This window comes from Homo sapiens, chromosome 5 (genome assembly GCF_000001405.40).
Source record: "Homo sapiens chromosome 5, GRCh38.p14 Primary Assembly".
In the NCBI taxonomy this organism is placed as follows: Eukaryota; Metazoa; Chordata; class Mammalia; order Primates; family Hominidae; genus Homo; species Homo sapiens.
In genome coordinates, this window is record NC_000005.10 from 62,319,498 (window position 1) to 62,344,737 (window position 25,240).

Sequence of the window (25,240 nt, forward strand, 5' to 3'; positions counted from 1 at the left end):
TCCCCTGCTTTATGAGTGGCGAGTCCCCTTTGTTTGCTCTGTCAAAAAACTCATTGTATTGTATTATATGTTTGTGTCTGGTCAGACTCAAGTTCCTTTATATTCCCCACTGCCTAGCACAGGCACTCTGCACACTTTATAAATTATCTGTTTGCTGAATCAGTGACTAAATGAACTTCCAGCTTCTCTTTCACTGCTCTGTCTATTCAAGTTTTGACATTCTAAAAAATTGACTTGTGTTGTTCATCCTCCAGGCATCAAGAATATGACATGACAAGGTGTGTGTCACTGTTTTTAATGTATACTTGTAATTTTCTCTTTAAGTTTAATTGCCTGTTTTGAATAGCAATATAGTCCCATGACTAATGAAGTTCCAAAATGATATATATGTATGTATGTATGTATGTATATATCTATTAGTCTCCATCCTACCCCTACCCCACAGCTAGCTACCCAGTTCTTCTCCAAGAGACAAAAATATTACTAGCTTCTTATATTTGTAGAGCATTACCTCTTTTTCATTTTTCAGGAAAATCTCTGCTTATATATCTCTATCTACATGTAGTATAAATATGTGTAAATATATACCTTTTTCCTACAGATGTTATATTGTATATACTGGAGTGTAATTTACTTAATAATAATGATATCTTGGAGAACTTTTGAGTAGATAAATAATAGTCTCATTCTTTCTTGTACTGCATTTCATTAGTGAGTAAATATACCACAATTTATTTAACCAGTCTTTTACTGATGACATTTACATTTGTGCCTAATCTGTAGCTGCTGCATAGCCAATACTGTAGTATTTAATAGCCTTCAACTCTTGACATTTTATACATACATGAATATATCTGTAGGGGAAAAAATCCTAGAAGTAGAAGCACTGGGTCAGATAATTGTGTATGTGTAATTTTGATAGATCTTGCTGATTTGTCTTCCATAGATATGAATTTACCTTACTATCTGCAAAAATGCCTGTTTCCTCATACTCTTATCCACACAGTGTACATTACACTTTTGAAATTTGCTAGCTTGGATTGTGAAGTTCAGGCTGTGACTATAGCATTTTTTTTTTTTAAGTGGCCCTGTAAGGGATGACATGCTTAATTTATGAAGTGTTTATGAGGTCCAAACATATAATAGAAAACACCTAAGTTCTGGTGTTTATCTGTCATAGCCAATATAGAAAAATAAAGAGTATATCCTATATTATGTCTGATTATGAGAAGAAAGTAATTTTTTAGTGAAAATTTTTTGAGAAATAAATATTATAGTTTTAACCTAATAAACCTAAAGAGCCCTTTAAAGTGCACAATTCAGTGATTTTTTTTTGGTATATTCATGAAGTTGTACAATTATTACCACTGTCCAATTTCAGAACATTTTTATGACAAACTGTAAAAGAAACCCATACCCATTAGCAGTCACTCTGCATTCCCCTCTCATTCCGGCCTTTAGTATCTGCCATTAATCAACTTTTTATCTTTGTAGATTTGTCTGTTTTGGACATTGAGTATAAACGAAACTGTACAATACATAGCCTTTAGTGTATAGCATCTGTCACTTAGCATAATCCATACTCAAGTTTATCAGTATAGTAACATATTTCAGTACTTTTTTTATGGTTGAATAATATTCCATTTCATTTCATTTATCCATCCATTAATCGATAGACATTTGGGTTTCCCATTTTTTGGCCATTATGAATACCATTCATATACAAGTTTTTGTGTGGACATAAAAGAACTGAAAATTGTTTTCAGTTTTTGTGGGTTATACCTAGAAGTGGAATTGCTGGATTATATGGTAACTATACTTACTTTTTGAGGAACTGCTGTATTATTTTCAAAAGTGGCTATATTATTTTGCATTCCCACTAGTAATATTTGAGGGTTCCAATTTTCTACATCCTGGCCCAAACTTGTTATTTTCCATCTTTTTTATTATAGCCGTCCTGGTGGGTATGAAGTGGCATTTTATTGTGATTTTGATTTGCATTTCCCTAATGACTAATGATGTTGAACGTCTTTCCATGTGTTCATTTACCATTTGTTTTGTTTGTTTGTTTGTTTGTTTTTAAAGGATAGAGTCTTATTCTGTCTCCCAGACTGGAGTGCAATGGTGTGATGTCAGTTCACTGCAACCTCTGCCTCCTGGGCTCAACTGATCCTCCCCGCTCAGCCTCCCAAGTAGCTGGGACTACAGATGCACACCACATCCGGTCGATTTTTATATTTTTTGTAGAGACATGTTTCGCCACGTTTCCTAGGCTGGTCTCATACTTGTGGGCTCAAGTGATCCGCCCACCTTGGCCTCCCAAAATTCTGGGATTACAGACTTGAGCCACCATGCCCAGCCATTTGTATGTCTTTTTTGGAGAAAGATCTGTTCAAATCCTTTGTTCACTTTATAATTTGGTATGTTTTCTCTTTTTTTTTGAGACAGCGTCTCACTCTGTCACCCAGGCTGGAATGCAGTGGCATGATCATAACTCATTGCAGCCTTACCTCCCAGGCCCAAGTGCTTCTCCCATTTCAGCTTCCTGAGTAGCTAGGACCACAGGCACAAGCCACCTTGCCTGGCTAATTTTTTTTAGAGGGGATTGGGGTAGGGGAGAGACAAGGTCTCACTATGTTACCCAGGCTGGTCAGACTCCTGGGCTCAAGTGATCCTCCCGTCTCAGCCTCTCAGAAGTGCTGGGATGACAGGTATGATCCACCGTGCCCAGTCAATATTTATTTTTTTATTGTTGAGGTATAAAACTTCTGGATACTACTGCCATATCTGATACATGCTTTATAGATATTTTTTCTCATTCTGAGGGTTGTCTTTTCCCTTTATTGATAGTATCCTTTGAAGCACAAAAATTTTTAATTTTGATTAAGTCCAGTTATCTATTTTTTCTTTTGTTGCTTTTGCTTTTGTTATATCTAAGAAACCATTGTCTAATCCAAGATGAGACCTACCTTTATGTCCTACTACTTATGTAGGCCTTTCCATGGACTATATTACCTAAAATGTTTATGTTCTTCCTTGATCTTAACACTAGTTCTTGACCTTTTAACATAGAAAACAAATTAAGCATTTGACAGCAAATATGCTGCAAGTCTTTGGTAAAGGATGAATAAGGCCTTGAAATACCTTGCAACTCTAGTCTCAAAGTCATCTCTTTGTTACCAGAGTTGAAGGGTGGGAAACGGTTGCCTTTTATCTGTGTACCTACACACATATATGCATATATGGTATAATGTATCAATATTTACAGAGACCATAGTAAACACAGCACAAAACCAGGCATTAAGAGATGCATGGGAAATAGCATTTAAATGGTAAATATGGTAAAGATTGTTTTATGGTTTTTGGGTTTTTTTTTTTAATGATCATATTTTTAATGTTACTTTAAAATAGATTAGTGGAATGTGATTCAATTTAGTAAAAAAAAAAAAAAATCAGCTTTATTAAAACATCTGAGAAAGCCGGGCGCAGTGACTCATGCCTGTAATCCCAGCACTTTGGGAGGCCGAGGTGGACAGATCACATGAGGTCGGGAGTTCAAGACCAGCCTGACCAACATGGAGAAACCTCATCTCTGCTAAAAATTCAAAATTAGCCAGGCATGGTGGCGCATGCCTGTAATCCCAGCTACTCAGCAGGCTGAGGCAGGATAATCGCTTGAACCCGTGAGGTGGAGGTTGCCGTGAGCCAAGATCACGCCATTGCACTCCAGCCTGGGCAACGAGCGAAACTCCATCTCAAAAAAAAAAAAAATCTGAGAAAGATGGAAAAATAAATGTATTAGAAAAGGTTTTTAAAAAGGAGAATGTTAATCGAGACCACGTTGAAACCCTGTCTCTACTAAAAAAATACAAAAAATTAGCCGGGCGCGGCGGCGGGCGCCTGTAGTCCTAGCTACTTGGGAGGCTGAGGCAGGAGAATGGCGTGAACCCAGGAGGTGGAGCTTGCAATGAGCTGAGATCACACCACTGCACTCCAGCCTGGGCGACAGAGCGAGACTCTGTCTCAAAGAAAAAAAAAAAAAAGAAGAATGTTAAAAACACATAAAATTATAGCTTTATACATTCTGAAGTAAATATTGATGAGTTGATAGGATAGCTAGAATTTGTTTCAAAATAATCCAGTTGTGATAGAAGTGGCAGTGGGATTGGCCATATATTGAAAATTAGTGAAGCTGAATGTAGGGGGTTATCATCTATTGTGTAAGTTTGCAATTTTTCATAACACTTTAAATTTTTTTTGCTGGGTACAGTGGCTCATGCCTGTAATCCCATCACTTTGGGAGATCGAGGTGGGTGGATCGCCTGAGCCCAGAAGTTTGAGATCAGCCTGGGCAACATGGCAAAACCTCGTCTCTACTCTGCAAAAATTAGCCGAGCATGGTGGTATGTACCTGTGGTCCCAGCCACTCTGGTGGCTGAGGTGGGAGGATCCCTTGAGCCCCAGAGGTTGAGGCTGCAGTGAGCTGTGTTCATGCAACTGCGCTCCAGCCTGGGTAACAGAGGGAAACCCTGTCTCAAAAAAAATAAAATAAATAAATAAATAATTTTTAATGAAAATTCTTTTTCAAAATGCCTCTGCACAGAATCTCATTTACAGTAGCCACCTAAAGAATAAAATACCTAGGAATACAGCTAACCAAGGAAGCGAAAGAGCTCTACAGTGAGAATTACAAAACATTGCTGAAATAAATCTGAGATGATACAAACAGAAAAACATTCCATGATCATGGATAAGAAGAATCAGTGTTGTTAAAATGGCCGTACTGCCCAAAGCAATTTACAGATTCAATGCTATTTCTATCAAACTACCAATGATATTCTTCACAGAATTAGGAAAATCTATTCTAAAATTCATATGAACCAAAAAAGAACCTAATAGCCGAAACAATCCTAAGCAAAAATAACAAAACCAGAGGTATTATACTACCCCCATTTCAAGCTGTACTGCAAAGCTGCAGTAACCAAAACAGCGCGGTACCGATATAAAAACAGACACATAGACCAGTGGAACAAGATTGAGAACCCAGAAATAAAGCCACACACCTACAACCATCTGATCTTCAGCAAAGTCGATAATAGCAAGCAACGGGGAAAGGACTCCTTATTCAGTAAATGGTGCTGGGGAAACTGGGTAGCCACATGTAGAAGATTGAAACTGGACCCCTTCCTTTCACCATAAACAAAAATTAACTCAAAATGGATTAAAGACTTAAATGTAAGACCTCAAACTATAAAACCACTGGAAGAAAACCTAGCAAGTACCATTCTGGGCATTGGCCTTATCAAAGAATGTATGACCAAGTCCCCAAAACAATTACAACAAAAAGAAAAAAAATGACAAATAGGAGCTAATTAAAGAGCTTCTGCACAGCAAAAGAAACAGAGTAAACAGACAACCTACAGAATGGGAGAAAATATTCACAAACTATGCATATGACAAAGGTCTCATTTCCAGAATCTATAAGAAACAATTCAAGCAAAAAGCAAACAGTCCCATTAAAAAATGGGCAAAGGGACACACTTGCTTTCTTAAGTCGCCTGCTTGTTCCTCTTCCAAGTTGTACTTTCTTTTCTTTCCTTTCCTTACTGTTGTAAAGCTTTTCTTTTCTTTTCTTTTCTTTTTTTGAGACAGAGTCTCGCTCTGTCACCCAGGCTCGAGTGCAGTGGCGTGATCTCGGCTCACTGAAACCTCCACCTCCTGGGTCAAGTGGTTCTCCTGCCTCAGCCTCCTGAGTAGCTGGGATCATAGGTGCCCGCCACTATGCCCGGCTAATTTTTGTATTTATAGTAGAGATGGGGTTTCGCCATGTTGGCCAGGCTGGTCTCGAACTCCTGACCTCAGGTGATCCACCTGCCTCGGCCTCCAAAAGTGCTGGGATTACAGGCATGAGCCACCATGCCCAACTGTAAAGCTTTTCAATAAACTTTCATTCCTGCTCTGAAAGAAAAAAAAAATGGGTAAAGGACATGAACAGATACTTCTCAAAAGAAGACATACATGTGGCCAACAGGTATATGAAAAAATGCTCAACATCACTAATCATTTGAGAAATGTAAGTCAAAACTGCAACAAGACACCATCTCACACCAGTCACGATGGCTATTATTAAAAAGTCAAAAAAATAACAGATGTTGGCCAGGTTGCAGAGAAAAGGGAACACTCACACACTGTTGGTGGAAATGTAAATTAGTTCAGCCACTGTGGAAAGCAGTGTGGAGATTTCTCAAATAACTTAAAGCTATTCAACCCAACAATCCCACTACCGGGTATGTACACAATGGAAAATAAATTATTCTACAGAAAATAGACCTGTACTCATATGTTCATTGCAGTACAGTTTATAATAGCAAAGACATGTAATCAACCTGGATGTCCATCAGTGGTGAACTGGTTAAGCTGGAGCTAAACATTGGGTAAATACCGGACACAAAGATGGCAACAATAGACCCTGGGATTACTAGAGGAAGGAGGGTGGGAAGGTTGAAAAACTAGCTGTTGGGTACTCTGCTCACTACCTGGGTGATGGGATCATTTGTATACCAAACCTCGGTGACATGCAATTTACTCATGTAACAAACCTGCATATGAACCCCAAACCTTAAATAAAAGTTAAAAAAAAATGCCTCTGCAGACCAAATATTTCTCTTGGTTTCTGATCTACTTTTTAGGTACTATCCCATGTATTTCCTGCCAGTATCTTAAACTTACCAAAAACAGAATCCATTGCCTTTATCCCCATATTTCTGTATTTGTATTCTGTCTGTTGGTTAGTGGAGACACCATATATCTGGTTTCTCAAATAGAAATCTTATTGATAATGCCAGCTTCCCTCATTCCTTGAGGATGTTTGCTCCTGGCCCACCCACACTCTCAGCAAAATGACCTTGCTTGTCATTTCACCACCAAGAAATATAAACAACCAGTAAAGAACTACAAGTCAGCCACATCTACCCAACTACCAGCATCTGTGCCTATATGACTGCCTTCCTTCCTTTGCTGTGGACACATTTTTTCTGTTCCTGTTTTGTGCCTCTTTCCTCCACTTGTACTCTGGATCTTGTCTCCTTTCACCTGCCCAGTCACAACTTCAGTGGTCTCTCTGTGCTGCATCAACAGTTATTTTCTTTACTGAGTCATTTCCATCAATATGGAAATGCTGTTATTTCTCCCATCCGAAAAAAAAAAAATCCTCTTAGGCTAGGTGTGGTGGCTCACACCTATAATCCCAGCACTTTGGGAGGCTGAGGCAGGCAGATCGCTTGAGCCCAGGAGTTTGAGACCAGCCTGGGCAACATGGTGAAACTCCCTCTTTACAAAAAATACCAAAGGTTAGCAGGGCATGGTAGCACATGCCTGTGGTCCTACCTACTGAGGAGGCTGAGGTAGGAAGATTGCTTGAGCCGGGGAGGCGGAGATTGCAGTGAGCCGAGATCCAGCCACTGCCTCAAAGAAAAAACAAAAACCTCTTGACTACTCTCTTTGAGGCATTGCTCCTGTTTTACTTGATCTGTTAGCAGCATTTGACACAATTAATTCACTCCCTTTTGTTTGAAATACCTTCACTTAGCTTCTGTGACTACTCTTCTGATTTTTCTTCTTTTTCTCTGGTAAATTCTTGATCTCCTTTGCTGGTATCTCATTTCCCTGACCTCTATACAGAATTTTAAAGATCGGGACTTCTACCCTCATTCTCTTAGTGGTCAAATCCACTTTGATTGTCTTAAAAAATACTGTCTGTATTGGTGTTTTGCAAACTTTTTTTCATTATTGCTCTGCCTGAAAAGCCTTTTGACTACTTTATTGCCTAATCACCCCATCGCAGTGAAATTTCTCTGCATCTGTTTATGGGTTGTAGCCCTTCGGAGGGCCACAAACCATTGTAATATCTAAGATCTGCCCTTCCAAAGAGCCAGTTTTTATCACCTTGGGGATATCACCTCTGCTGAGAATGCATGATTTAAATTGACAATCCCCAAGCTTTTTTCTTCAGCTTTGACCAACTTCAGTCTATTAGAGAGCCTACTTCATATCTCCACTGGACAGATATCTTAAACTTCATACGTACAAAACCAAACTCATAATCTGACTTTAGCCTTTCTTGCCACATGGAGCTTCAGTGATCTCATTCTTCTTTATGTACCTTTTGTTCTGGCAGCACTGAATTTGAAATATACATTTTACCCTAGTGGTAAAAGGGCTTAGAAGAGTGATCATTTATTTTCCTAACCGAAATTGGCCAGGCTTTGAAAGTAGAAATTTCCACGACTCAGGGCCACTATCATCATAATCTTCCTGTACGTAGAGTGGAGCAGGAGTTGGGATGACAGAGTCCTGGGGGGAATAATAACATTGCACTAACTGTTGAAAAACATTCCACAAGATCCCTGTCTCGTTAGGATGTATGCATAAGAGAAGATGCTATGTACATGTAGCTGTGAAAAGTTCACAGAATAGCACTGCTGTATTGGTATGGAATTCCCTTTTGGGTAAATAAGCCAGGGAACAATTAGATAGCATCGTTCAGTGTATTCAGGAGAATACCTGGGAAAGACAGTTCTTCAGAATTTTGAACTATTGGCAACATGTTGCTTTAACAACACCACTGTAAAAGTCTTTGGTATTCTAAATAGGAAATCTTGTATTCTTTAACACGTAAGTAAAGATACATTTGGTATATATTCTGTTATCCAAAGGAATGTAGATACGAAGAATAGCCTTTTAATTAAGGCTAATAGGTTTTGAGATTTATTTAGTTAACTTATTTAGTAAACTTCATGAAGTGTTATTTCTAGTACTGTGTGGTTTTTTTTTTTTTTACATTGTTACTATTTCAGCTAGAATTGTAATCATATTACATCGTGATTTTAGAATTTTGGTTTTTATGTTCTCTTTACAAGTGGTTTTGGACGGTGTTTTAACCTTCCTTTTCCCCAGCCCCAAATATGCTGAACAACATCAGGAAACTACAGTGATTTAATACTCTTTTTTTTGAAATGGAGTTTTGCTCTCGTTGCCCAGGCTGGAGTGCAGTGGTGCGATCTCGGCTCAGTGCAACCACTGCCTCCGGGGTTCAAGTGATTCTCCTGCCTCAGCCTCCCAGGTAGCTGGGATTACAGGCATGTGCCACCATGCCTGTCTAATTTTGTGTTTTTAGTAGAGACGGGGTTTCTCCATTTTGGGTCAGGGTGGTCTCAAACTCCCAACCTCAGGTGATCCGCCCGCCTCAGCCTCCCAAGGTGCTGTGATTACAGGCGTGAGCCACCGTGCCCGGCCTGATTTAATACTTTTTAATGGTATCATAGCTACTTTATGACATTTTTCTTATTACTGTTACGCAAATTCTGAATGAAACTTTTCTAAAAAGCTGCACAACGGGCCCTTCTAAATAATAATGCTACCTTAATTGTTAGTGTGCAGCTCAACAGATCCGAAGTTTCCCCATCACCCTATAGAAACTGAGCACTATTTTTTACATCCCTTTTCAAAACAATAGATGAGGTAAGAATTTGAAAATTCATAGTTTGTTTTCAATATGAATAAAATTTGTCCCGTTTTTAAGTTGTATTTTCGTAATGAAAATCTTAGCTATATCATTTTCTTTTTTCTCTCCTTGTTCCAAACTTTCAGGTTTGTGTTTAATGTCTAAGAAAGGAAATACTAGAACTTTCAATTTAGTTAAAAAACAGTAACATCTTAAGTGTGATAAACCAAACAGAAATGTCTCTATGTTTGGCAAAGTCACATTCCCCAGAGATTTACTAAACAGCAACAGCACTGTTACCAGTGTCAGCTGAGACATTATTTATGTCCTTCTCTAATGGCTTCTTGTTCCACTAAAGCTATTGAAGAAGGTGTAATGCTACATAGTCCTCATGAAGGACTCTTTTCCTCACTGCTTAGATTAGCTAACACAACCTGAATATCAGAATTTGAGACTTTGAATTCTGCTGCTGATCTGCTGTGTGACTTCCAACAAATCAAATTGCTTTCTGTCCTCAGTTACTGGTCAGTGGCACCTAGGAATAAATTGACATTTACTGTTAGATTATAAATAATAACTGCTTTGAGGTAGTTGGCAAAACCAAGATATAATGTGTGACTGTTAGTGTAGTTAACATTACTGTGAATATTACTGTGTAGTTAACTTCCATTTTCTAAATAATGCTTTTTTGTAGCATCCTTGTCCTTTTAGTCTATTTTAAAGCAGCATTTGACAATCTTTGTTTTCCCAACTTTTCTCCATTTTGTGGTTATGATAAAATTATAATATAGACATTAAAGAGGGGAATTATTTTCATGCGCTTGAAGGAGCATCCTTTTAGAATTCTTTTAATAAGCTGAAGAAAGGAATTGTATCTGTTTTAAAAGACCAATCTTAAAACTCTTTAGACAATGAAAGCTTATTAACATGTTTTTCTATGACTTAACTTGGAAAGATGGCAGTAAAATTTTTGAATTTGCATTCTACAGTGGCAATTGGTTTACTAAGTAAATATACAATTGATTGGAACCACTATTTTATGTACCTAATTATTATTTAAGAAAAATGGGGCCGGGCACAGTGGCTTATGCCTGTAGACCCAGCACTTTGGGAGGCCGAGGTGAGCAGATCACTTGAGCCCAGGAGTTTGAGACCAGCCTGGGCAACATGGCAAAAACCTGTCTGTACAAAAAATACAAAAAATAGCCAGGTGTGGTGGCAGGCACCTCTGGTTCCAGCTACTTGGAAGGCTGAGATGGGAGGATCACTTGAGCCCAGAAGGCAGAGGTTTCAGTGAACTAAGATTGCACCATTCAACTCCAGCCTGGGCGAGAGTGAGAAAAAGAAAGAGAAAAAAAAGAAAGAATAATGGAAAACCTGTTATTTAATATAGGTTTTGATCAATCACCTGATATGAAGTGGCAAAGGTTTTACCATCAATGTGTTCTGAGGTAATTTATCTGGTGTGGAATGACTTGGAAGAAAGTATTTCCTTCAAGCATCTGTTTACCAACCACTTTGAGTAAACTTATGTATTTTACTCATCTTCTGGAAACAACATTGTTCTGCCAGACACTTGGTCTGAATGTGTGATTTTGCAATTCAGAGTAATATTTCTTTGTTCTTCTGAGAATGGATATTTATGCATGTTTTCCTCTTAGTCTCTGCTTGAGAGGTACAGGAGATAACTAGATTTTATTAGCATATGTTTAAAAGTCTATTAAAAATGCTTTTAAATTATTTGGTGGTATTCTGATTGAAAATGGAAGGGGTTGCTAGAGGTTTTATCAAGAATAGACACACTATATATTTTAATTTATTGGCAGGTAAGCTAGATTTTCCTATTAGTTTTCATTACATGGCTGTATACATATGAATCACCGGTGACTACTTTTTAAAAATATGTGTACAAATTTTTAAATTATATTTTTTGTAGTAATATGTTATAAAGCATTGATTTGTTATATTTTTAAATTTATCATACTTTAAACAAAACAGATTTAAACAACTTCAATGGATTTGGAAATAGCCATTATAAACAATCTTATAACTGAAGTTTTATTTTTACTAATAATTTAAGTTGTGTTATTCTTATACATATTTAGGTTTTGAAATTTTTATAAAGGTCTAGGCTGGGCGCAGTGGCTCATGCCTGTAATCCCAGCACTTTGGGAGGCCAAGGCAGGTGGATCACCTGAGGTTGGGAGTTCGAGACAAGCCTGACCAACATGGAGAAACCACATCTCTACTAAAAATACAGAATTAGCCAGGCGTGGTGGTGCATGCCTGTAATCCCAGCTCCTCGGGAGACTGAGGCAGGAGAATCGCTTGAACTGGAGAGGCAGAGGCTGTGGTGAGCTGAGATCGTGCCATTGCACTCCAGCTTGGGCAACAAGAGCAAGACTATGTCTAAAAAAAAAAAAAAATTATGTTTTCTGGGATTGCAGGCACGGTGGCATATGCCTGTAATCCCAGCTCCTTGGGAGGCTGAGGCAGGATAATTGTTTGTTGAACTTGGGAGGCAGAGGTTGTGGTGAGTTGAGATCGTCCACTGTACTCCAGCCTGGGTGACAGAGCGAGACTCCGTCTCAAGAAAAAAAACAAAATTATAAAGGTCTTAATGTCTTAAAAGTATGAAGAGAAATTTTTATAGAAACGTCTAAAGGGGAACTGATAAAAATAATGTTCACTTTGGGGGAAGACTTGCCATATGTATGGTCATATACCACAATCCTATGATTAGGGTAGTTAGAAATAGAAACGAAAAAAAAAAAAACAACATAGAGTTTGTAATCCTAGGTATGTCAGAAACAGCTGCAACCTTTTAAAAAACTGCTTGGATCTGAAAAGAATTGATTGTTGCTTTTTTGTATTTTTCCTAACGTTCTACTACTATATTTTCTTAATAAAATACATATTTTTGTTAGATTTTTAATATTCTGACTTTTAAATACTTGTAATGAAATTTTATTAGTATTCTTGGCTGACTTATTTTGGCTCTTGTCTCCTCCATTTGCAACCAAATTATACTTTATATGCTAGACAAGGTTTATGCCAGCCTAATTGGTTGCTGGCATTTCTTAGCCTCACAGCTGCTGTGAACTCAGCTGTGAACTAGAAAACATATAATAGGATCCTGTTTTCAGAGACCAAAAGGCAATTGTCAACATGTAAAACTTGTTTTTGACAGCTCAATGAATATATGAGCTTTTATGACAAATAGCACTAATACCAGATCTTAAGTAACTATCTTAAAGATTAGAAAGTCTTGAAATATGAATTCCATGTATTTATTTTTCTTCACTGAAGCAAAGATGGCTTAAATTTGCATGTATGTGCTGTTCAGTCATTTGTGGCTTTTTTCTTTTTAAAAATCATGTATCTTGATATTTACCAACAGATATTAAAAGTTGAGATGTGAACTGTTTTCCCTTTAATTTCGTCCTAACAAAAAGTTGAGCCTTAAGTGGGGTAAAAATGTTTCTGAAAATGAGCTAAACATGAAATGGCTTTGATTAAAGATTATATTTCAAAATATTTATTATATTTATATTTGATTTAGCAGATTTTATTTATATAAATTTTTGACATCTAAGTTTGGGGTGAACATTATTTTTATGTTAAGTTGGACCATATGAAATTGTCATTTTTTTAGGTCAAATGGTTGAATGTAGACTAAATGGGAAAAAATGGCAGTGTATCAACACGAACTCCCTAACCAAATTCAGAAATGTAACTAACCACTGTGAATTACCTTTGTATAAGTAAAATATCATCATGTGTGATCAATACAATGAGATTAACAAATCAGATTTATATATAGTAAAATCTTTTCTTCCAGTATAATTGCTTTTTGCCCATTCCCACTGTTCTCTTCAACATTTTCTTAAATGTTTAGGGACTCTCAGCAGTAAGCAAAACAGGCTAAACAAGTATATGAGAGGCTGTAGAAATACATTGAGGACAAGCAAACTGTGTTAGTAAATGGCTCATACTGAATATGATAAAAGCATCATCCTATACCTACATTTTGTATCACTTTGATACTTCGCATGATTTTTTATGTCTACTGTGATTCTAACAGTCTATCGATTATATTTGGAATGTAGCTCCAAACTTTTCTTGCACAATCTTTTATTTAAAATGCGAATTGAGTTTTGTCACATACAAATATAAATCTTTCCTTACATAAATATTTGCCAGAACAATCTTGCATTGTGAGAAAAGCACATTTTAGGAGGTTTTGGTATTAAAAACCAAGAGGTGTTCTATTGGGAAAATAATGATTGGGGAGCTATTCTGCAGGGTTTGCCTGTACTTTCCAAAACTGTTTGTGAGGCTGAGGCGGCAGTCGCTGTGGCTGGAATAGGATGCTGGGAGGTGTTGAGGGAGGAACAGTGGCTTGTACTGGGAGGGTGTCAGGAAGGAACGGGAGGAAGATGGCGACATCAGGGGCAGGGCAAATGAGCCTTGTTCGGCCACAGCCTTGGCTTTCAATCTGTGCAAGTTTAGTGAGATCACGCTGCAGAAGCAGTGTCAGGCTGAGGACACAGTGGCCCTCGAGGAAATGATAATGGACATCAGCTCCACCCAGTTACACACCCAAAAACTGCAACTGCCATACACAAGGAGCTCCCGTTATGGTGGTTCTCTGCCAACACCCTACCACACTGACAGCTCTCCCTATAGTCCTGCCTACTTATCTCCTCCCCAAGTGTCCAGCTGGTGAAGGACTATCTCCTGGGACAATTTCCCTGCAGAGAAGGGGTACCTGTTTTGCCCAGCATCTGCATTTAACAGGACAAGCTCTGACTCTGCCCTTCACACAAGTATGATGAACCCCAGTCCCCAGGATACTTATTCAGGCCCCACACCTCCCAGCATCCTGCCCAGCCAACATTTCAGGTTGGTAAAATGGACTCCAAAGTACCTGCTATTGAGGAGAAGTTCTCCTAGGTGACAAGCATTTGCTGAAGCCATGGGATACTTAGAAGCTGTCGTCACCCTCCTCCTGACCCCGGTCCTAATGAAGTCCCTGGAATTAATATCTTTCCATTTCCTGGCCAGCTTGCCAATGTTCCTGTCCTCCCACCTGCCATGAAGACTGGATGTGGCAGGAGGTCCCTACCTGACCTCATCAATTTGTACTTTCTGCCAGCACTGCCCACCCCCCGGACCCTGAGGAGACAGCCTACTCTAGCCTGAATAGGGGCAACAGTACCTCCAATTTGACTCACATCATGACTCACCTGGGCATTAGTGAGGGCCTGAGCCTGGACTTGGGTCCAGGTCATGATGCCCCAGGACTTTGTTCACCTCTCAGCCACCCATCCCTGCAGTCCTCCCTAAGCAATCCCGATCTCCAGACTTCCCTGAGCAGTCCTCAGCTCCATCTTCAGGGCATCCACAGTCTCCCCTCACTATCTCCCTCTTCCTTGGCCCACCATGCCCTGCCTACTACCTTCCTGGGCCAGCCCTCACTAAGTACCCTGCCCCCCACTTCTCCTCCTCCTCCCCCTCTTCCTCCCCCTCTTCCTCTTCCTTCTCCTACTCCTCCTCTCGTCCTCCACTTTATTCTTCATCTGCCCCTACCTTACTCAACCTCTACTCCTGGGGCCTCCCCACCACCACTGCCTTGTACCCCTCAGCCCCCTAAGTTTGCTCACAGGTCCAGCCGATGCCAGAAGGTCGCAACAGCAGCTACCCAAACAGTTTTTGCCAGTGTCACCCACCCTGTCTTCCATCGTTCAGGGTGTCCCCCTGGAGACCAGTAATCTGCACACCCAGCCACACACCCCAAAGTCTCTACAGCAGCCAGAGCTGCCCTCTCAGGCCTGCTCAGCGCAGCCCTCAGGTGGGTAGCCCCTGAGCAGGCAATTGGATTATGGAATACTCCCCGCCTCGGCCCACTGGGCTTGGGCAAGTCTTCACTGGCCGATGAGTGACTTCAGCCTGGGGAACTGGAGCAGTTCAGCATGGAGAGCCCATAAATCAGCCTGGTGATGGGTCCCCCTGGCTTTTCTGAAGGGCCTGGATTTTTAGAAGGTGAGGGACCAGTGGCTGGCCCTCAGGATTCCCACACCCTCAACCACCAGAACTTGACCCACCACTGCTCCTGCTGTGGCTCAAGGCTGAACATCATCCTCATAGGAGACTCCTTCCCAGGTTTCTCTAAGGAGATTGCAGCAACCCTGGCTGGAGTGCCTGGCTTTGAGGTGTCAGTAGCAGGGTTGGAGTTGGGGCTAGGGCTAGAAGATGAGCTGCGCATGGAGCTATTGGGCCTGGAAGGGCTATACATGCTGAGAGACCCAGTGCCCTGCTACCCGATCCTGCTCTGGAGTATTCATCACCATCCCTCTTCTTGGCCCTGTCCCCCATTACTGTCCATTTCCTCCCTTACCCCAGCTAGTAGAGACGCCACTCTGTCCCTCAGATCCTCTTTGTAGCATGAACGAAGGAGCCCAAAAATGAGAAAAAGCAAGGAGTTTGTTCAGGTGGCCCTTGAATTCTGTACAGGGGTGGGCCTGGAGGAGCTCAAGGGAGGGTCACAAGCACTTGTAACTTTGAACCAACTGCCTGGAGGTCAGAACCTGTTGGAAAGTTGGGGATATAAACGGGAACCTGGGAGGCAGGGCTTGTCCGGATTCCTAGAGATGGGCATTGCCAGCTCCTCCTCACCACCTTTTCACCTCTCAATGGAGGACAGTGCCACAGTGGGTATTATTTTTAATTAAATATTTTAATAAAAAATTGAGAAAACTCCTTGCAGGTGTTTTTTGTTTCACTTTACCCCTAACAGATGACATTTTCTGTACTAATTTATGTTTACAACTAGATTGAAACAAAATGGAAGACTTTTAAATATGTCTCTGGATTTTAAGTTTTAAAAAGCCATAGAGTTTTTGAAACTATAAGTTATCTTTTATATGGTAGTATTGATTTTATATAACAATGTAAACTTAGAATTTTCAAATCTGACCTCATTTTCTATGAATATGACTTAGGACTTAAAGATGGATTGAGGCTTCTGGTTCAAAATAGTATAATAAAGTTCATGTATTGGCATCCTTCTGTCCCAAACACATAAGAGGAAACCAAAAAGGCATAGCTGAGCTCAAAAACAAGATCATGGATTAGTAATGGAACAGGAATTCTAAGAGATGGATGAGGCTGAAGCAGGCATGGATGTCAAAAGTTTGATTCCTATAGGATGATGCGGGAGAAAGAGACTTTAAAGGAGAATCAGAGTCAGGTCCACTGTTTGAAGACAAGGACTTCTGCGGCTCCTCTTAAAAATGCTGGTTTTTAAATGCCGCTGATTTGCTCCTGGAGCTAGATTTATAAGAAATTTTCCATCAAGGAAGGCAGCCCAGTACAGTTATGGTAGAAATACAGGGGTATTCAGCCACTGTGCACTGGGAAAAGTCATACCAATTATTGTGACTCTGTCTGTTCTGATTGGTCAGTTATCTCACCTTTAGAAATCATTAACAGGATACCTAGAAAACCCCCATGTCTGGAATTTGAGAAACATTTCTAAATAACTCATGAGACAAAGCATCATGAAAATTAGAAAAATAGGTGGAACTGAACAATAACAAAAAAACTACATGTAAAAACTTGTAAGATGCTGCTAAAACAGTTCTGGGAAAGAAATGTGTAGCTTTAGCGGCTTATAAAGAAAATAGAATAAGGATGGTGAATGACTTAAGCATTCATCTTAAGAATTTAAGGGGAAAAAACAGTAAAATATGCCCAAAGTAAGTTGAAAGAAAGAAGTAATAATAGCAGAAATTAAGTACATAATAACACCTAATAAAAAAGACTCAACGAAGTCAGGTTTATTCTTGGAAAAGACAAATGAACAAATCCCAGGTGAGATTAAGAGAAAAAAGTTTACCAAAATACTAGGAATGAAAATGTGGACATCATATCAGATGCCAGAGGCATTAAACAGATATGAACTTGATGCCAAAAATGTGGAAACTTTATCTAAAACTCCTAGAAAAATATAATTATGAAAACAATAAAAACTAATACTATAATTATTAAGGAAATTGGATCTTCTTATAATAACGCAAAGCAAGATGGTTTAACAAGTGCCTACCAAATACTCAAGAGTTGAATAATCTAATTTCACACCAACTATTCTAGAGTACGGAAAGGGAAAACTCTGCCATAGAAAATCATTTTATGAGATTAGTATAACCAGCCGGGCACGGTGGCTCATGGCTGCAATCCCAGCACATTGGGAGGCCAAGGTGGGCGGATCACCTGAGGTCAGGAGTTCCAGACCAGCCTGGCCAGCGTGGTGAAACCCCCTCTCTACTAAAAATACAAAAATTAGCAAGGTGTGGTGGCGCGTGCATGTAATCCCAGCTATTCAGGAGGCTGAGGCAGGAGAATCACTTGAACCTGGGAGGCAGAGGTTGCAGTGAGCCGAGATCACACCATCGCACTCCAGCCTGGGCAACAGAACAAGACTGTCTCAAAAAAAAAAATAAAGATTAGTATAACCATGATACCAAAATCTAATAAGATTGTTATGAGAGGCTGGGAGCAGTGGCTCACACCTGTAATCCCAGCACTTTGGGAGGCTGATGCAGGGGAATTGCTTGAGACCAGAAGTTAAAGACCAGCGTGGTCAACATAGCGAAACCCTGTCTCTACAAAAAATTTGCCAGGCATAGTAGTGCATGCCTGTAATCCTTGCTACTCGGCAGGCTGAAGCAGGAGGATCACATGAGGCTGTAGTGAGCCATGATCACACCACCGTACTTCAGCCTGGGCACAGAGAGAGACCCCCGAACTCTTAAAAAAAAAAAAAAAGTAGCTTTGAGAAAGGAAAATTGCTGGCCAGTATCAGTCTTAATTAATGATATAAAAATCCAGAACAAAACAGACAATGCAATTCCAGTCAGAATCCCAATAGGTAGTGTTTTGTGATTATTGGTTTATATGATTTTTGGAACTTCACAAGCTGATTCTAAAGTTTATACAGACATGCAAAAGGCCAAGAAGATCAAAGAGACTCTTAAAGAACAATAAGACAGGAGGGCTTATTCTATATGGCAAGACTTAATAATAAGCAAAGCTATAATACTAAATGTAATTTTAGTTCAGGGATAAATAAACTCATGCATGTATGCTTGAACTATGACACAGGTAGTATTGCTGATAAGTAGAGGGGAAAGGGAATTTTCAGGAAATGGTCCTGGAAAGGAAATTGTGTTATCATATAAAAATAACAAAATGCCAACGGATTAAGGTCCCAAATATGAAAGGTTTTGTAAAATTTTATTTATTCGAGTCGGAGTCTTGCTGTGTCACCCAGACTCGAGTGCAGAGGCACAATCTTGGCTCACTTCAACCTCTGCCTCCCGGGCTCAAGCAATTCTCCTGTCTCAGCCTCCCAAGTATCTGGGATTACAGACACCCACCACCACACCTGGATAATTTTTTGTATTTTTAGTAGAGTTAGAGTTCCACCATGTTGGCCAGGGTGGTCTCAAACTCCTAATCTCAAGTGATCTGCCCACCTCAGCCTCCCACAGTGCTGGGATTACAGGCCTGAGCCACCACATCTGGCTTATAAAACTTTAAAAGAAAATGTAAGAGACTGTTTTAGGGATCTCAATCTTAGGAAAAATTTCATAGCATACCAAAAAACAACAAAAAAAATCCATAATGGAAAAACATACATTTGACTACATTAGAATTAAGAATTTAAATGCATCAAAAGCACCATAAAGAACATGAAAAGATAAGCCACAACTTTGTAGAAAATATTTGCTATACATACAACAAAAGATTAATATCAAGAATATATATAGAATTCCTATAGAGAAATAGCCCAAACAAAGAGGCCCCAACACTCAAGTCAGTACTCAAAAGGCCTGAATGGCTAACAAGCACAAAAACAGGCAAAACCTCATTAAATCAGAGAAATTAGAACCATAATATGATACATTAAATCTGACTAATATTGTTTTCATGAATGTGGAGTAATTGCTAGGGGGATTACAAATCATTATAGATACTGTGTGTTAGGCCCATCTTTCATTGCTATAAATACTTGAGACTGGGTAATTTATAAAGAAAAGAGGTTTAATTGGCTTGCAGGTCTGCAGGCTTTGCAGGAAGCATGATGCTGGCATCTGCTCAGCTTCTGGGAAGGTCTCATGAAGGCTAAGGGGGAGCAGGAGCAAGAGAGAGGGAGATGCCACACACTTTTAAACAGCCAGAGAACAGAACTCACTGTCATGAGGACAGCACTCATCACCAAGGGGATGGTGCACTCATCACCAAGGGGATGGTGCTAAACCATTCATGAGAAATCCACCCCAGTGATCTAGTCACCTCCACCATCCAATCACCTCCACTGGGCCCCACCTCCAATATAGGGATTACAATTCCACGTGAGATTTAGGCAGGGATGAATATACAAACTATCACACAGCCACTATCGATAGGAAGCATCATGGCACCGAAGAGAAAAGTTTTATATATGTGGACTCAATTATTCTGTATTTCTTCTCTTATTATGTATCTTAGAGAAATTATTGCACATTTGTACCAGTACACATATGTAAGAATGTCCATAGCATCATTGTTCCTAATAGCAGAAACATAAAAACAACTCAAATGTCTGATAGTAGAATAGATAAAATGTATATTTGTGCAATGAAATACTATATTGTAGTGAAAATGAGTTATATACATTTTATATATACAACATAAATGAATTGCAAAAAATAGTATTGAGCAAAAAAAAAAAACACACAGGTCTTAAAATAGTGTTAATCCATGCATATGCAATTTAAAGAGAAGTAAACTGTTTAGATTTCTGTGTGTGTGTGTTACATTTAAAGGTGATAAAACTATAAAGAAAAGCCAAAATATGATTATCTCAAATATCTGGGTAGTTACTTTTAGTACTTTTTTTTTTTTTTTTTTGAGACAGAATTTTGCTCTTATTGTCCAGGCTGGAGTGCAATGGCGCGATCTTGGCTCACTGCAACCTCTGCCTCCCGGGTTCAAGCAATTCTGCATCAGCCTCCTGAGTAGCTGGGATTACAGGCACGCACCACCATGCCCAGCTAATTTTTTGTGTTTTTAGTAGAGAGGGGGTTTCACCATGTTGGCCAGGCTGGTCTCAAACTCCTGATCTCTGGTGATCCACCCACCTCAGCCTCCCAAAGTGCTGGGATTGCAGGCGTGAGCCACTGCACCTGGCAGTTGTTATCTTTGGGAGGGGAATGTATGGGGTTTCAAAAGTGTTTTTTAACCTAGCTGGTGGTAGTTACACAGGCATTTGCTCTATTATTATTTTTCTTTAATGTGGAAGTATATGTGATATAATTCACAGTAAAGTAAATGGTGAATCAGAGAGAGTCAAAGGGCAATGAGTTAGTGAAGATGGAATACAGGAGTTTTCTCAGGTGGATCAGAGAAATGGGATGGTATTGGAAGGCCACATGGAAAGATTGTTGCATTTTCTAGGGAAAGATATTTCTAGTCCTGATTAGTCTTATTAACGTCTATGCATGATCCCTATTAACAACTGAGACTTGAGCATCTCATTGTTCTCCCCCTAGTGGCATCATTCTCCCAGTCATCCAGGCTTGAAACCTTCTTGTTATGCCTGTATGTTGTCACCATATCATGATTTTTTCCTTTGAAAAATTTTTCATGTATCTTATTATTGTTTCTCTTATTACTTAACACCTTTGTTAACAGGTGTTTACTACTTAACTTTCTAAATAAATCATTGGATGTCTTTGTTAAAGAAAAAAATTAAAATTTAAAAAGAAAAATTATAAATTTGTATTATAATTTAAAAAGAGGTATTTGAGTAGCTCAATGAAAAGCCATATATACGACAATTAAAAAATATTTAAAGTCATATTGGGTAAAGTTGGTTTTTAAAAAGAAAATAACATTTTTTAGAGACATCTTTTGGTGCAAATAAAAGCCCCATGCTGCATTGGTATTGTAGGTAGTGTAGATGGTTCTAGTTATCTGATTAATTGGCAAAAAGCAAATGCTTAAGACTTTGTCTATTCATTTCTTATTGCTGGAATTTCGTATTCACTTCTTGTTGGATGAGTAAACTGGATTATGGTAGAGATAAGGCAACATAATTCTCAGTCCTGCCCTGCTCAACCTCTAGAGTTTAGTCTTAGATCAGATGCTTTTGACTCTGCAAACTTGTGATTTAAGGCTTTCTGGATGTGTACACTGGTGGTTGAGGTCATAGAGGTTCCAATATTGAGGAGACTGCTGATACTGGATGTTGTCTCCTTGATTTTTTTTTTTTTGGAGACAGGATCTCACTCTTGCCCAAGCTGGAGTGCCGTGGCACAATCACAGCTCACTGCAGCCTTGACCTCCTAGGCTCAAGCAATCCTCCTACCTCAGCCTCCCAAGTTGCTGGGCCTGTAGGTGGACACCACCATGCCCTGTTGATTTTTAAATTTTTTTTATAGAGTTGAGGTCTCGGTATGTTGCCAACCTAGTCTCAAACTCCTGGGCTCAAGCCATCCTCCTGCTTCTGCCTCCCAAAGTGCTGGGATCACAGGTGTGAGCCACTGTGCCCAGCCTCCTTGATTTGCTTTATCCTCTCATTGCCAATCTCTCTAGCCTGTCTTTGGAGATTAAAGTTTCTGTGAATTTGCGACCTGTAGTCCTGGTACGAATTTTGCTCCACCGGCCCACCTTTTTTTCGCACACCTAGTTATGGTACATTAAGTCACTCCTTGCCTAGAAGGGTGGGAATACCATGGTAGATGCCCAACAATAAGAATGGTTGTGTTGGTCTTGCCTTTTGGAATATCCACATATTTTTCCCCATTCTCATTACTGTGGTAATTCTACTGGTAATTGCATGGAGATCCACCTTGGTAACTCATTTCTTTTTTCTTTTTTTTCCAACTAGATTTGATAGCTAGGTGTCTCATTTCTTTAACCTCAACCACGGCCTCTTCATTTCCTGCTGAGGGTTATTCTTCACAGTAGTCTGATTAAAATGCATCTTCCTTAGGCTGAAATATTTCCTTCCTTTCTGCTGATAAAACCATATCAGTGTTTTATTAAACTCTTTTACTTTCTCCAAAACCTTTGTTGCTATAATCTTCTTGTCCCCACTAGTGGGTATTAGTATATTGTGGGGCTGCCACGGGCAGTTGGGGAAAGGATGGCTGCCAGGTCTTAGCCTCACTACTCATGTTGTAGAGATGGTGATTGATGCGGGGCTTGATGCAGCAGCGGTAGGCTCCTCCCAGATTGTGATGGTGACTGGGCTGCTTATGGCTCTCTGGGGTCCACTCTTCATTCCCACTACCAGTTAAACTCATCCTCTTTCTCATATGCTGTGGCAGCCATGCAGGTGCACTGCTTAGATGTCTCTCTAAGAAAGAATTTCAGTTTCAGGGAGTGCAGTTAGCTGACAACCTCCAGTTGTTAGTACCTTCAGGGCCTTTAGGTTTGGGGTTGAGAACTTGAATTTCCTGGGAAATCCACAGCCAGTGATAGAGCATGGCATGGGTAATAGGACATATCCATTTTGGCTCAGTGCAGGACTCCTCTAATGGGCAGTCTTGCTCTGAAGCACCCTACTGGGTTGACCAAGACTTTGTTAGATCTGCATCAAGGTCTGAGGCTTTCTCTGCTCAGTCCTGCTTCACAGCCACTTCCTTCATAGGTTTCAAATCTGCATCATGGTCTGAAAGTTTTCATTATTTTTTATTTTAATCTTAATTTTTTTTTTTTTTTGAAGTGGAGTCTCGCTCTTGCCCAGGCTGGAGTGCAGTGGAGCGATCTTGGTTCACTGCAACCTCCACCTCCTGGGTTTAAGTGATTCTCCTGCATCAGCCTCCTGAGTAGCTGGGATTACAGGCGCCCACCACCACACCCAGATAATTTTGTATTTTTAGTAGAGACTGTGTTTCACCATGTTGGCCAGGCTGGTCTTGAACCCCTGACCTCAAGTGATCTGCCCGCCTCAGCCTCCCAAAGTGCTGGGATTACAGGCGTGAGCCACCGCACCCAGCCTGGTCTGAAAGTTTTCTGTGCTCAGTCCTCTTTCCTCCCCCTTTTATCTTTAGCAGTAAACCTCTTGTACTCCCAACTCTCTCATCTGCTTCTCAGAGGACTCCAAATGACACATATCACTTCCACTGGTTATTTACCTAATTTGTCTCTGAAATTGAAGTAAGGATTATTTAATTTCCCTTTTTTAACTCCCTTTTGACTCCTCCCAGTATTTTTTTAGGTCATCAATTTCACCCACCCCCAGCACCTGCATCTCCTCTAATGCCCATCTGTATTAGTAAAAGGCACCACTATTTACTCAGTTGCTTTTACATCTTTCACATTTAAGTTTGTGACCCATCTTTTGGGGAAGTGGGGGGAATGGAGGTGGTATTGTGTGAGATAGGAATCAGACAATTAAAAAGGAGTGACTTTAGTAAGGCATGAATGAGGTCACAGGTAATGCGGGTCAGATCATGTAGGGCTTTGTTGTAAGTCATTAATAGGTCATTGAAAGGACTTTAGCTTCTACTCTGTGTGAGATGGGGGAGTCATTGGAAGGTTTTGAGCAAAGGAGTAATATCTGACTCACTTTTTACCAGGAACATTTTGGCTGCTCTGGAGAACAGACAGAGGGCAGATAAGTTGGAAGCAGGAAGACTAGTTGGGAGAGTATCACAGTAATCTAAGTACAAGGCATTGGTAGCTTGCACCAAGATGATAGCAGTGAAGTTGTTAAGAATTGGCTCATTATCTGGGGGCAAGACTCAAGCAATGTCATTTTATTTTGTGAAAGCTCCCTAGGAGTTTCTGGTACACATGAGGGTTGAGAATTTGTGTTACCGTTTATACATTTTTATAGGAATGCCTGGACTTAAGACATATAGACATCTTCATCAGCTTAATTGAAGTGAGTAGAGAAGCATAGTGATTAATAGCAAGTACTTTTACATCTGACCAAGGTTTAGACCCATGCTGCTTATTCACTGTGTAACTTTGAGCTTTATTTTTCTCATCTATAAATGCAGTTACCGGCTGGGCGCAGTGGCTCACGCCTGTAATCCCAGCACTTTGGGAGGCTGAGGCGGGCAGATCATGAAGTCAAGAGATGGAGACCATCCTGGCCAACATGGTGAAACCCTGTCTCTACTAAAAATACAAAAAATTAGCTGGGCGTGGTGGTGCGCACCTGTAGTCTAGCTACTCAGGAGGCTGAGGCAGGAAAATCGCTTGAACCTGGGAGGTGGAGGTTGCAGTGAGCCGAGCGAGATCGCACCACTGCAGTCCAACCTGGTGACAGAGCGCGACTCCATCTCAAAAAAAAAAAAAAATGCAGATACCTACTTTGTAGGTATATTTGTTATGATTAAATGAACCAATGTGAATTAAATGAGCTAGTATCTGACATATTCATACTTAAAAAGTAGTAGCTTAAAGAAATCTGACACATGAGATGATAAAAGTGTTAGGATTGATAATGCTCAGTGTTGTTGAGGGTGTGGAGGAATAGGTCCCACTGTTGGTGAGAATGTATACAAAGGGCGGTTCAGGAATATCTATCAAAATTTCAATTTTCTTGACCCACTAATTCTCCTTCTAGAAATTTTATTTGTGGAAGCATTCACACCTATGTTCAGATATTCAGTGCAGCATCTTTTAATGGCAAACAGTTGGAAATAATACTCCTAATAAAGGAATAAATTGTGA

At 39.9% G+C, this 25,240-nt stretch overlaps 1 protein-coding gene and 1 pseudogene across 4 annotated transcripts in view; both read left to right on the top strand.

Moving 5' to 3' along the window:
• The window catches only part of KIF2A (kinesin family member 2A), an 84,820-nt gene that overhangs the window by 13,292 nt on the left and 46,288 nt on the right, over nt 1-25,240 (top strand). The gene's annotated exons all lie outside the window — the stretch shown is intronic.
• LOC100421358 (CREB regulated transcription coactivator 2 pseudogene) lies at nt 13,962-16,047 on the top strand (annotated as a pseudogene).